This window comes from Homo sapiens, chromosome 4, assembly GCF_000001405.40.
Source record: "Homo sapiens chromosome 4, GRCh38.p14 Primary Assembly".
Lineage (NCBI taxonomy): Eukaryota > Metazoa > Chordata > Mammalia > Primates > Hominidae > Homo > Homo sapiens.
The window spans coordinates 6,333,196-6,346,020 of record NC_000004.12 but is presented as its reverse complement, the minus strand read 5'-3'; the positions used below and the strand labels follow the sequence as shown (position 1 = coordinate 6,346,020).

Below are 12,825 nucleotides of genomic sequence, written 5' to 3'. Positions count from 1 at the left end.
GTGGGGCCGTGGCCTGGAACAACAGGGGGTGCCAGGGACCAGCAGGCAGGTTTCAGACCCGCGAGCCTGAGGCCCGTATTGGGTTCCAAGGAAATGGGTCGAGTAGGCAGCCAGATATCCAGGCAGTAATGCCACCTGGAGATAAGTGTGGAGTTAGTGGCCGTGGACTGATGGGAGGCTGGAGACCAGCTGAGATTCCCGGGGTGCAGGGGGCTCGGGGCTGCGTCCTGTGCGCCACAACAAAGGACCACACACTTGGTGGCTGAAAACAGGGCATATGTATAGTCTCAGTCCGCAGTCCCACAGCCAGCTCACTGGCCATAATGAAGGTGCCACGGGCTGGTACCTTCGGGAGGCTCTGGGGAGCACCGTTTTCCCTGCCTCTTCTGGCTTCTAGAGGCGCTGCGTTCCCTGGCACGTGGCCCCTCCCCCATCCTCCCAGCCCACAGCGGCCAAGCCTCTCTCACGTCTCTGACCCTCCTGTCTGTCTTTCGCGTATAAAGGCCCTTGTGATCGCCTTGTTCCTGCCACCCCTAATGATCCAGGATGACTTCCTCATCTCAAGGTTGGCTGAGTTGCGTCCTTGATTTCATCTTTGGCCTTATTTTGACTTTGCCGTGTAGCATAACATAGTCACAGGTGCTAGGGATCAGGACGCAGCCGTCTCTGGGGGCCGTTCCACCGCCTACTACAGGACACTGCCCCCCCACCTACGCCTCCCGCCCATTCACTCAGGCCACATGTGCCTCCAGCTGTGCCTGTGTACAGCCAGGTCTGGGTCCGAATGGAATGGGAGAATATTGGGGAAGAGAGGGGGTTCTTCCTGCTCCTGGTCCGCTGCTGACCCCGTGTGAGCCCTGTGGGAAGGAGGATGGGGCTTCATTGGCACCCTGTTGTTTATAGGGGTGGAAATCCAGAAACATCCTCAATATCCCAATCTTAAATGCTAAGATTATTCAACTCTTCTGAAATGAGTGAGGCAGCTTTTTGTTTCTTTTTCTGGAACCGTTGGTGTAATATATCTGCTCCTTGAAGTATTAGGAAAACTTGTGTGCAAATCTATTCGGCGTCCTTTTGAGGGAGAGAAGGAAAATTTTAAGCAACCAGTTTAAAATGCCGAGAAAATGATGTCGACAGTGATGACATCCATGTACTAGAATATTGTTCGGTCATGTCAGCTATTGTTTTAGAAGAATTTTTAATGCCACAGGGAAGTGATTATGTTGAAAGATTTAGGGGATAACAAAATAAGGCTATGACCACCAGAAAAGTGGAAACAGAGAAAACTCTGGAAAGAAATACACTAAGTTGTCCCTGAGTGGTGAGCTATAAGAAACTGATGGAATATTTTCTTTTTATTTTTCTGTGTATTTTTACTTTCATGATGGATTTGAACTTTGAATCAGAAAACACATGTGTGTGCAGGAAGGGTGGAATTTAGAGAGCACAGAGACGGGCATAGGACAGTTTTGTGCACCCCTCAATGTTTGTGTGACATTTTTCAGTGGGCTAGAGGGGGCAGTCAGACCCCCTTTGGCTCCCGAAGCCTGTGCTATCCGGTTTCCCAGGGCAGAAGCAGCGGTCACATATACCTTGCACATTTCGTGAGTCCAAGCACAGACACATCCATTTCAGCCACGTAATTTCATATGCCTGATGATGTATGAGCCTTGTGTGAATCAGCCAATGAACTCAACAGTGCGAGAAATATGAGTGTTTTCGATGACTCAATTCAATTTCATTCTTCACCCCCAGCTCCCAGGGCTGCAGTGAACGTTAACTTTTAGGGCCTCGGCAGATTCCACTCCTCTCCGGATTGCACTGAGGTTCCAGAAGGCTCTGGCAGGCCGAGGTGCGGAGAGAGGGACATGGTGTCTTCCAGGCCACTGAGGACTTTTGATTGTGCCTGGGCGACCTTGGGGCCAGGTCCTTGCTGACAAATCCCCAAGGGCCTGTTGGCTGTGCTCAGTGACTCACCTGGGAGGTTGGCAACATGCTGACCTCTGGCGGCTCTTGCCCGCACCAGTGATCCCAAGTCTGTAGACAGGGTGGGGCTGCCTGTGATGTACTAAGGTTTTATGTATGCTTTTTGCACACACAGTCATAGGTGAAGTTGGTTTATAATTTTCTTTTCTTATACTCTCTTTGCCCAATTTTAAGATTATTCAACTCTCCTAAAATGAACTGGGCAGCTTTTTCTTTCTTTTTCTGGAGCAGTTGATGTAATATATCTGCTCCTTGAAATCTTAGGAAAACTTGTGTGCAAATCTATTTGGTGTCCTTTTGAGGGAGAGAAGAATTTTTTTCTTTTTTTTTAGACAGAATTTGGCTCCATCACCCTGACACGATCTTGGCTCACTGCAGCCTCCACCTCCTGGGTTCAAGGGATTCTCTCACCTCAGCCTCTGGAGTAGCTGGGATTACAGGTGTGTGCCACCATGCCTGGCTAATTTTTTTTGTATTTTTAGTAGAGACAGGGTTTTGCTGTGTTGGCCAGGCTGGTCTCGAACTCCTGGCCTCCAGTGCTGGGATTATAGGCATGAGCCACCATACCAGGCCAAGAGAAGAAAAATTTTAAACAACCAGCTTAATTTCTTTTTTGATTATTGATTTATGCAAATTTTATTTAAAATTTTTCTAGAATATTTTTCATTATCAAACTCAATATCCTGTACGGAAACTTTCTCTTTCGTGCCAGCAAAAAGATTGCGCAGCAGTTTTTAGCATGCTTTTACAGCTTCCATTTCTCCTCATTTAATTTGCCGCACATTGGGGCGAGTGGCTGAAGTGTCTGTCCTTCTGCATGCCTTGTCCGGGCTGTGTTTTTGCTCTGTGGCTCTCATGGGAAATCAAGCACGCAGCCGCTTTCCAATTAGCAGGTGGCGGCTGTTTTTAATCTGAACACAAATGGCTGTTATTTGAGCTAATTTTTTAAAAGGGATTTGGGGATTAGGATTAGTTCTTCACCTCCCACTTCCATCCATGTATCCAATTACTGCTCAAAACTCAGGGAGTGGCTGATAGTGACACCCCAGAGATGTGCTCACAGCATCATTTTCCTAACAGAATCAGACCGCGAATGAAGAGCGTCCTGGATGCAGGAAGGTGAGCATTTCTGCCATTGGACAGATGAGGAGACCGAGGGTCCGAGAAGCTCTGTGACTTCCCTGGACCCCTCCTCTATCAGGGCAGAGCTGGGGGCACACAGGCCACTCTGTTCCCTCTGCAGCTTCCCACCTTTCTCCGAAGCACTGGAAATCCGCGTCTTGTGACTGCTTGGCAGTGTGACAGGGTAACCGTGGAAACAACCGTACATGAGTCCTCAAAATAGACAGTTACTTCTGCTTATGACAGCACAGAGCCTGCGGAAAGAAAGGGCCGTGCCCGGAACACTGGGATTTCTTAGAATTGGGGGTGATGATGGCTGAGACCCTGATTTCTTAGAATCGGGGCCGATGATGGCCAAGACCCTTCATAGGCCCCCAACGACGTGCCTGGCCCGGTGTTGGGTGAAATAATAACCGCAGCTCATTCTTTGCACACCTAGTGCAAACACATGCTGTTTTCAGTTTATATCTCATTAAATACTCAGCACCTATGATGGGTGTGTTATAGTATTCATCCTACAGATGAGGAAGTTGAATACACTTGACCCTGGAATGATGTGGGAGTTAGGGGTTCAGACAGTGCCTGAATGCAGTTGAAAGTACATGCTTAACTTTTGACTCCCTCAAAACTTCACTCCTAATAGTCGGCTGTTGGTGGGGAGCATTACCAGTAACATCAACAGCTGATGAACATTTGAAGAGACTGATGTCTACGTGGATTTTATGCATTTGTGACATACCTAACTTTTTCTTTTCTTATATATATATGTATGTATATATATGTATGTGTGTGTGTGTGTGTGTGTGTGTGTGTGTGTGTGTGTGTGTGTGTATCGTGGCAGATCTCCAAAATGTTTTCAGTATATTTACTGGGAAAATCGCACATCAGGGGACCTGCAGGTTCAAGCCTGTGTTGTGTGAGGGTCAAGGGGCAACTGTATACGCACTTCTCATTGCTGCGGGAACAATTGCCATGAGCTTAGTGGCTCAAAACAACACAAAAGACTGTTGTACATTCTGGAACTCGGGCTAAAATGAAGGCGTCAGCTGGCCTGTGTTATCTCTGGAGGCTGCAGGGTGGGGCTGTTTTCTGATCTTTTCCAGCTACTAGAGGCTTCTAGAGGCTGCCTGCACTCCTCAGCTCATCATTCCAACCTCTGCTTCCATCATCCCATCTCTTTCTTCCATCTTTGACCTTCCTTCTTCCTCCTATACAGACCCTTGTGATGACATTGGGCCCATCCAGATTATCCAGGGTCACCTCCGTACCTCAAGGTCCTTCACTTAATGACATCTGCAAAGCCCCTTTTGCCATGTGAGATAACAGGTGCACAGATTCTAGGGTGGAGGATGTAGATAGACGCCTTTAGGGGTCATTGTTCTCTGCTACATTGAAGCACAGAGAGATTAAGACATTTGCCCAAGGTCACACAGCTAAGTAGAGCCAAGATAGAGCCTCAGAGAGTCTCATGCCTTCAACCTGCACTCTTTTTCCCTTTCTCATCACAGAAGCCTTGAGAACTAAAACTCTTACAGGAATTGTGGGTGAGCTGGGTTTTTTTTTTTTTTTTTTTTGAAATGGAGTCTCATTCTATTGCCCAGGCTGGAGTGCAATGGCATGATCTTGGCTCACTGCAACCTCCACCTCCTGGGTTCAAGCAATTCTCCTGCCTCAGCCTCCTCAGTAGATGGGATTGCAGGTGCCGGCCACCACACCCGACTTTTTGTATTTTTAGTAGAGACAAGGTTTTGCCATGTTGGCCAGGCTGGTCTCAAACTCCTGACGTCAGGTGATCTGTCCACTTCGGCCTCCCAAAGTGCTGGGATTACAGGCGTGAGCCACCGCCCCCCACCTGAGTGGGTTCATTTAAAAGGGCTGTGTGGGCTCAACTCCCAGGGCTCACTCTAGTAATGGATCTGCTGCAGAAAGACCAGCCTCAGCCCAGACCCTGCAGCTCTCCAGGTGCAGGACCAGGGCAAAGCTCCCCAACAGTGGGAACAGCCCATGTGAGGGCCCTGTGGCTGGATACAGAGGCTGGAGAGAGGAGGTGAGGTCAGAGAGGTGTGTGGCTGGAGGAGGCCTCACAGGCCAGAGCAAGAGCTTCGGGTTTCCTCTGAAAGGGACAGGAACCACAAGGCCGTCTGAGTAGGGAGTGGGCCAGCCTGGCCATGTGTTCACAGGATCCCTCTGGCTGCCCAGTGGGGAATAAGCTGAGGGGTGAGGTAGAAGTGGGGGCTGGCTGGGGGCTAGCGTGTTCACGCAGGTGAGAGACGCTGGTGCGCAGAGTGAGTGGCCGGTGCAGGTGGGGAAGGTGGTGGGCCCTGCCCCCCATGGCAGGTGGGGCCTGCTGGATTTGCTGCTGGATTGGATGGAGAGGGAGGGAGGGTCGGGGATGGCTTCAGGCTCTGTACAGAGACCAGGCTCCCGTCTGTGTGGAGCTTTGTGGAGGGACCACAGGAAGGGGACTAGTAAATAAGTAGGTGCATTGGAGTGGGAAGGTTTCCATGAAGGGCATCAGGAGCCCTCTGATGCATTGCACCTCAGGGGTCAGGAGAGGTGTCCCTGGATGAGAAAGAGCCTGGGAATGGGGGCGGGGGTGCCCCACCCCACAGTAGTGTCTGAGAGGAACCTGGCTGACGTCAGGACCCGTGTGGCTGGAACAGGTGGAGGGGTGGGCTCTTGTGTGCAAAGATGGGTTAAGGGGAGAGCGTGCCGGGCCTGGGGGCCACAGCTGGGCTTGAGTTTTTTGTTTGATGGGGCTCGATCACATGGTGCTGGGCAGGGAGTGACAACTGTCATCTCTTCATCAGTGAGCATTCATTGTGCCCACCTGTGCCATTGTAGGAACTCCCTGCTCCCTCCCCACTGTGTACAGCCTCAGGGATAGGGAAAGAGGCCGAACAGGAGGCCCCTCCCCAAACAGTGGCATCACCTGGAACCCAGGAGCAAGCCAGTGTCCAGGGGTGCTCGGGGATCCATAACCCCCATCGTCCTTCTTCTGCTTCTCGGACCCTCCAAGCTCCTCCTGGAGCGCGGCCTGAGGTGAGGCCAGCTGGCCCAGGCCACTCCACCCTCGTGGATGGCCTTGTATCCCATCAGATCACAGGAGGGACCCGTGGCCAGGGTAGCCAGGGGCGATCACTGCCCAGGACCCCATAGGCCCCTCCCCCTCCAGGCCACCTCCTCCCATGTTTCCCACCTCCACCCACCTGCAGGTCCCTCCCACCCTCATCTGTTTCTCTGGAGGCCTCACTGAACTGCACTTGTCCCTGAATGCATGGCTCAAGCCCATGCATTTCTACTGTGTGAACCCAATCGGCCTCCACCCCAGCCCCAGAGGAGTGTCGTCCACACACTGACAACGATGGGGGTGGGGCACAGCAGGTGCTACCAAGAGGGCCACAGAGCAAGTGCCACGGGCACACAGGGGCCACCCCCAGGCTGGCTGAGGCTTCTCTGCCAGGCCTGGAAACTGCAGTGGAACCACATCAGGTTGGGGAAGAAAGATGTCAGTGAGGGGCTGGAGCAGAAACGGCAGGCAGCTGCACAAGCTTCTCTCTGCTCAGGGAGCAGGGCGGGGCCATGAGGCAGGGTCTGTGCTAGGCAGGGGCGCCAAGATGATCAGTGACTAATGACCAAGGCAGGACCCCTGGCCCAAGGGAGCTTACAGCCCCATGAGGGGACCCTGCCCTCCTGCCAGTGCCACAGGAGAAGGTACCCAGCGGCTTGGGGGCAGCAGAGGGTAAGCACAGGATTTCTTTAGAGAGCATGTGAACAATATGCACAGAAAGCAGGGTGTGAGCCTGGGGTTCTAGAGGATGTATAGGAGTTGGTAAGAAAGACCAGCTAAAAATGGGAAAGGGATCTCAGGGAGAGAAAATGATGTGAAAAATAACTCCAGGAATCCCTCCGTAGTTTTATTGAGCAGCTACTGCAAGCCCCACACTGGGCCATCGCCTCCAGGCATGACCTCTGAAGATCCCATCGTGCTCCTTCTCCAGATGAGGGAAGCTGGGCTCAGAGAGGACCAGGCCCTTGCCTGAGGTCACACAGAGCACGATGCATTCTGCTCTCTGCCCAGCACATGGCGGGGCAGGGGCTACGGGAGGCAGGGGGAGATGCCTAGGGCTCAACATTGAGGAGACACCCACCCCCAGAGCCTTTGAGTGGATGCAGTGCCCTAGGGGCCCAGCAGGAAGGGGGCTGGAGTGTGCGGCAGAGGGGAACTTGCGTGTGTGAGGCAGCAGCAGCAGGCTGGTTGGGACCCATTGAGAAGGAGCTGGTCAGCTACAGGTAGGAGCCTAAACCTTGATCCTGTGGGCACTGGGGAGCCAAGGAGGGCTTCAAGCAGAAGGAGGTGCCGTCGGCTCTGTGTGAGGCTGGAAAGGAAGGTGGGCACCTGCTCTCAGGCTTCACCTCCTGTTTCCTTTGATTCACAGGTCCGTCAGAGCCGCCCCACACCTTGGTTGGGCTCCCCAGGTCCCCTCCACCTTGGCCTGAGCCAGGGATGGGGGTGGGGAAGGCTCTCTGTGGCCACAACACCGTGCAACACCCAGGGAGGAAGAGGATGTGGTTGTCAGGGAACCGGCTCGAGCCATGAGAGCCCTAATTATGCAAAATCATTAAAAAGAAACAGGATGGAGATTTCGGCTGATTGAGAGCTCTCCAACTTTTAAATAATTAGGGTGTGGGGGAGTGGGTGGAGATGGGACTGGGCCCATCACAAGTGATGGGGGCTTTGAGACATGTTTCTTTAAACCCATGGCAGGAATAATTACTGTGAAATGTCCTTAGCGATTCAGTCAATTAGAGGGGAGACCCCTTATCTCTTGTTAGCGCTCTGAAGGTGGTGCAGCGGGGTGTGTGTGTGTGTATGTGTGTGTGTTTGCGTGCGTACTCGGGGGCAGCGATTGATATGGAATAGTAGATTCCACTATCTTTTGGAAAAAAATCTATTGTATCAAAAATTTCATAGAAACGTCTAAAAAGAAAAAGAGGAACTTTTAGGAATGGTTTTTCAGGCTTATTAATATCCCTTCCGATCTATCGTTTGCATTCCTGTTCCTTGTGTCCTTAAAAACCCTCAGAAATGCCCGAGTACAGCCAGCAGTGGGGCGACAAGGGCCAGCGCCGTTTGGCTTTGTTTCCACTATCGATTCAATTGTTCTCTCAGCCTTTGATCTTTGCGGTTTTTCCTGCTGGAGGCTGGTAGGATACTTGGCCACTCGTTCTGCCCTGTGACACCCAGCACCGGTGCCCCCTGTGATTCTGGCTGAATCCACCCGCAAGTCCTGCTGGGAACCTAGACCAGCCCTCAAGGTCTGGGGGAGTCTGGTCTGAGAGACCCCTGAGCAGGCGAGGGGGTACTAAGGCCACTCCGGAAGTCAGCCTGTGAGAGGCCGCCCTGGCTCAGTTTTGGACTCACCTCCGCCTCACCTCCAAGTGACAGAAAGCCTAGTTCAGGCCAGACAGGGTTCCCGCCACTCACCTGGGCAGGTGCTGGGGGCCACCAGGTCCCGCTGAGATTCTCTTCCTTGTTTCCATCCATTTAGCCACCGGGGGTCCCTCTTCTCTCAAGCCCTCTCCCTGCTTCTCCCAAATATGAGTCTCTACCCACTGCTAATGGAAAGGCAGCACAACATCACCCCTTTAGGGAATCAAGCGTTCGAAGTGATTTTCTTTACGGTAGGCATCAGAGAGAAAAGGGAACTGTGGTTGATCCTTCTTTGGCTTAACAAAGAAAAACTACAAATATATATATATATATATATATATATATATATATATATATATATATATACACACACACATACAGAAACAAAGATGCCAATTTAATTATTATTATCGGGGCACAAAACATTATCATGTGAGATGACCAATTAGAACTCAGAGGTTCAGAAGCTCAAGGTGACTCCCAGGGAGATTTTACTACCCCTACCGTACCCATCCTCCTCCACAGGCAGGGAGGGGTTGGAGGGCTCACAGGAGGGAGGGAGGGAAGGAAGGAGGGAGGGAAGGAGGGATGGAGGGAGGGAGGGATGGAAGCAGGGAGGGAGGGAGGGATGGAAGCAGGGAGGGAGGGAGGGAAGGAGGGAGGGAGGGAGGGATGGAAGGAGGGAGGGAGGGAGGGAGGGAAGGAGGGAGGGAGGGAGGGAAGGAGGGAGGGAGGGAGGGAGGGAGGGAAGGAGGGAGGGAGGGAGGGAGGGAGGGAGGGATGGAAGCAGGGAGGGAGGGAGGGATGGAAGCAGGGAGGGAGGGAGGGAGGGAGGGAGGGAGGGAAGTAAGTCAGTAGGGCTGCAGCACTCATCGTGCACTGGGCTCACTCTGTACAGCATCTTTGCTGCCTGCGGCCCTGCCTGTACCCAGGGTGGTGCCAGGCCTGGCTGCAACCCCCTCCTCCTGCCCCTTCCTGAAAAGCGCCCTTGGCTCCTGTTGTAGGGAGGAGCAAGGCCAGGGCTCAGGGAGGTGAAGGCGTTCAAGGCCACACGAGGGGCTCGGGGATTGAGACCCTGGCAGCCTGTTCTCTCCCAGCTCCCTCTGCGAGCGGCCTCACCCTTCCTTCCCATGGTGCTGATTTTCTTTCTGGTCCTCCCTTCAATGTGCCCTTGTGGAAAGAGGAAAGCTCGGGCCACTGAGAAGGGCGCCCCTGTGAACGATGGAGGGAGATTGAGGTCGCAGGCAGGCCTGGGGACTGGGGGCGTGTGGAGGGGTGGGTTGGGCTCCTGGAAAGGGAGGCGCCTACTGTCAGTTTTGAGTTTCGTTAAACACCTGCCAGCCTGATAGCATTCTAATTCCAAAATATGACACCACTTATTAGTGGATAAACTAGGCTCCCTCCCTCCTTCCTGATCTTGACGCCAGGACTGGAAGGAGCGACCACCTGCCCTCAGGATACCCGGTGCAGTGCCATGGCTTTGAGGGCAGAGGTGTGGGGTTGAAGGCTGCCACTGCTCACCAGAGGCTGTGGAGAGGCTAAGGACAGGGATATAGATCTCCTGAGCTTCAGGGGTCTGCTTCAGAGACAGGTGTTTGGAGGCCTTGCTCTCAAGAGAGGTGGGGGGGACCTTCCTCCTGCTGCCTGCTCTGATTTGGGGGGATACCAGAGGCATGAACATAAACGTGGGAGCCTTTTCCTGCCCTGTAAGCAGCTTCCCTCCCCCTCCTCTCACCTCCCCTCACCTCCCTGCATGCAGTGGCCTGGGATCAGGATGGTGACACCTGGGCTCTGCAGCCCTGGCCCACCGGGTGCTGGAACTTCCTTCCTCCGTCGGGAGGGGACTCCAGCCTCCTGCCTGCCCCTCCCTACCTCCTTGACTCAGATTTCATCCTCCCTGTCTCTGAACCCTCAGTGGCTCCCGTTTCCCTAATGGTGACTTCCTCACCCCTCTCCGTGGCCCATGAGATCCTGCGTGGGTGGCCCCTTGCGTCCCTGTTCCCCCTGCTCACTCCTTTCTCTGCCTGCACGGCCCTTGGCGTGTCCCTGCCTCAGGGCCCTTGCGTGTGCCGTCCCTTCTGCCCAGCACACCCCTCTCCAGGCATCGCCACCAATCTCTCCCCAACTTCACTCAGACCTTGGTCAAACAGCACCTCCCACGGAGGCCCTGTTCACCTAAACTACCAGCCCCCAGCACCTATCTGCCTGCTGGCTCTTCCTCCCCAGCACTTGCTGCTCCCTGGCGGTGGAGGGCGCCACTTAGTTTTATTGTCTGTATCTGCAAGGAGAATGTTGGCTGCACAGGAACAGTGGCTTTATGCTGGTCACTGCATCATCCCAGGGCCTGGCACAGAGTAGGTGCTGTTTGCATTGGTTGACTGAGTGAATAAATGAATGAATGAATGAATGAGTCCATCAGGGCATCCAGTGGGCCCTGCAGAGGGGAGCTGGACAGGAGTTGTATTTCTGGAGAGGCAGTGGCCAGGTACAGTGTCCACCTTGGACAGGAGGGAGAATGGGGTGCTGCCATTTCCCATGAGGGGATAAGGGGCTGGGACAGACCTGGGAGGCAGGACACGAGCCCTTGTGGCTGAGAGGGGCCAGCAGGGAGGGGCCTCTCGGGAGCCTCAGGGTGCTGTGATCAGCTCTGCTTCCCTGTTTCTGGGGTAGAGACCAGAGCAGGCCAGCAGGCAAGGCTGCCACTCAGCCGGTTTCCATGGGGACAGCTGGACAGGTTGTCATAGGTTTAGGTATTTCCAGATTGGCTGGTGAATGGCTGTCAACTCCACCACCCTGTTCTCTTCCCATCGTTCCCTGGGTCTCTCTGTGGCCCAGGTCCTAGGGAGTTAGTGCCTGGCCCAACAGGGGTCCTAGTCCCCACGCTACTTCAGCCCCAGGGTCACTGCTACCAGTGAGACAGATACCAGCAGAAATGAGCTTAGAGACCTTGTCCCACTTTGGGAACTTCTGCAGCTCAGGAAGGCCAGGTTATGGGGGCAGTGGGGAGGGGACACTGTCTGGGGAGTCCTCATTGCCCACTCTGTCCCAGTCTATAATTGTCCAGGTGGGCAGCAAACCGTTGCCTTTAGGGACCAGATAAGCAACTTCCTGTGCAGAGCAGGTGCTCCAAGAAAAAAGGAGATGGTCAGTGGATGGCATACAGGAGACTGTACCAACTCTGTGGCAGTCAGATTTGATTTTGTTACAAACCCCATGGCAATGAAACAAAACCCACCTATAAGTAGGGCTCAGCCATGCCTGCCCAGGACACCATGAACAGAGATAACTACTGGCCCAAGGTCCCAGGGCCAGTTAGTGCCAGAGCCACAAGCAGTGCCCAGTCTGGTAGAGGACATTGTCCAGCACATTTGAGAATGTCAGGACACCTTTGCAATCTGGCATTCAGCATCACCAGTAGGGGGCAGTAGAGGGCAGCACATCAAGTATAGCTTTGGCTTCAAATCCCGACTCTACCACCTTCTTCCAGCACTGACTCCCCAGGCATGGGTTTTAGCCAGCTGCTCCTCCATTTTCTTGGCTATGAATGGGGATAGTAATGGCTATTTCTGCACAGCACAGAATCTTACCAGGCTTGTTCCCTGGTAAGTGTTTAGTTCTAGGTTTGAGGAATGAATGAATGACTGAATAAACAGAGCATGGGCCCAGGTGCAAAACAGAGTCATCCGTCGTGCCAACCCCATGGGCGGGAGCAGCGCAGTGACGGCCATTGCTTCTCTGTCTCCACAGTCTTTGAAGAGCCTGAGGACCCCAGTAACCGCTCATTCTTCTCGGAAATCATCTCCTCCGTGTCCGACGTGAAGTTCAGCCACAGCGGCCGCTACATGCTCACCCGGGACTACCTTACAGTCAAGGTCTGGGACCTGAACATGGAGGCAAGACCCATAGAGACCTACCAGGTGGGCACCACAGCAGGAGACCCCCAATCCCGGGTCTTTTTTCCCTATGCTGAGATCCCCATGGAGGGGGCCTTCCTAGCCAGGCGTGGCTTTCATATGCCCGGTATGTAGGTGAAGACACGGAGGCTGAAGAAATCCAGCAACTCATCCCCACACGTAGCTTGGCAGAGGGCAGGAGTGCTCAGTCTTGCCTCACAGGGAGCTTTGGATGTCCCTGAGCAAGGCCTGCAGTCCAGGGCCCAGGGGCCTCAATTCCAGGGAGGAAAGAGATGTGGGAACAGAGATGAGCGTCAGGCTGGGCCCCAGTGGAGCATGTAGACGATGGCTTCCCTCCCCACTCCCTGGGAGCCTGCATCGGAGCTGTAC

The 12,825-nt window shown here is 53.6% G+C and overlaps 1 protein-coding gene across 9 annotated transcripts in view, besides 2 other annotated features; it reads left to right on the top strand.

The window, feature by feature from the left end:
- Positions 1-12,825, top strand: part of PPP2R2C (protein phosphatase 2 regulatory subunit Bgamma) — a 243,219-nt gene that overhangs the window by 217,779 nt on the left and 12,615 nt on the right. For all 9 annotated transcript variants that reach the window (XM_047415891.1, NM_001206994.2, NM_001206995.2 and 6 more), the window contains one exon: positions 12,290-12,459. In XM_047415891.1, the coding sequence (XP_047271847.1) occupies positions 12,290-12,459 (170 nt within the window). The remainder of the gene's footprint in view (positions 1-12,289; positions 12,460-12,825) is intronic.
- Positions 5,792-6,369: an enhancer, noted in NCBI's record as "H3K4me1 hESC enhancer chr4:6341379-6341956 (GRCh37/hg19 assembly coordinates)". NCBI's record gives its function as "activates a minimal SCP1, AML or CMV promoter by ChIP-STARR-seq in primed H9 embryonic stem cells {active_cell/tissue: H9 hESC(primed)}" and the evidence as "EXISTENCE:reporter gene assay evidence [ECO:0000049][PMID:30033119]".
- Positions 6,370-6,948: an enhancer, noted in NCBI's record as "H3K4me1 hESC enhancer chr4:6340800-6341378 (GRCh37/hg19 assembly coordinates)". NCBI's record gives its function as "activates a minimal SCP1, AML or CMV promoter by ChIP-STARR-seq in naive H9 embryonic stem cells {active_cell/tissue: H9 hESC(naive)}" and the evidence as "EXISTENCE:reporter gene assay evidence [ECO:0000049][PMID:30033119]".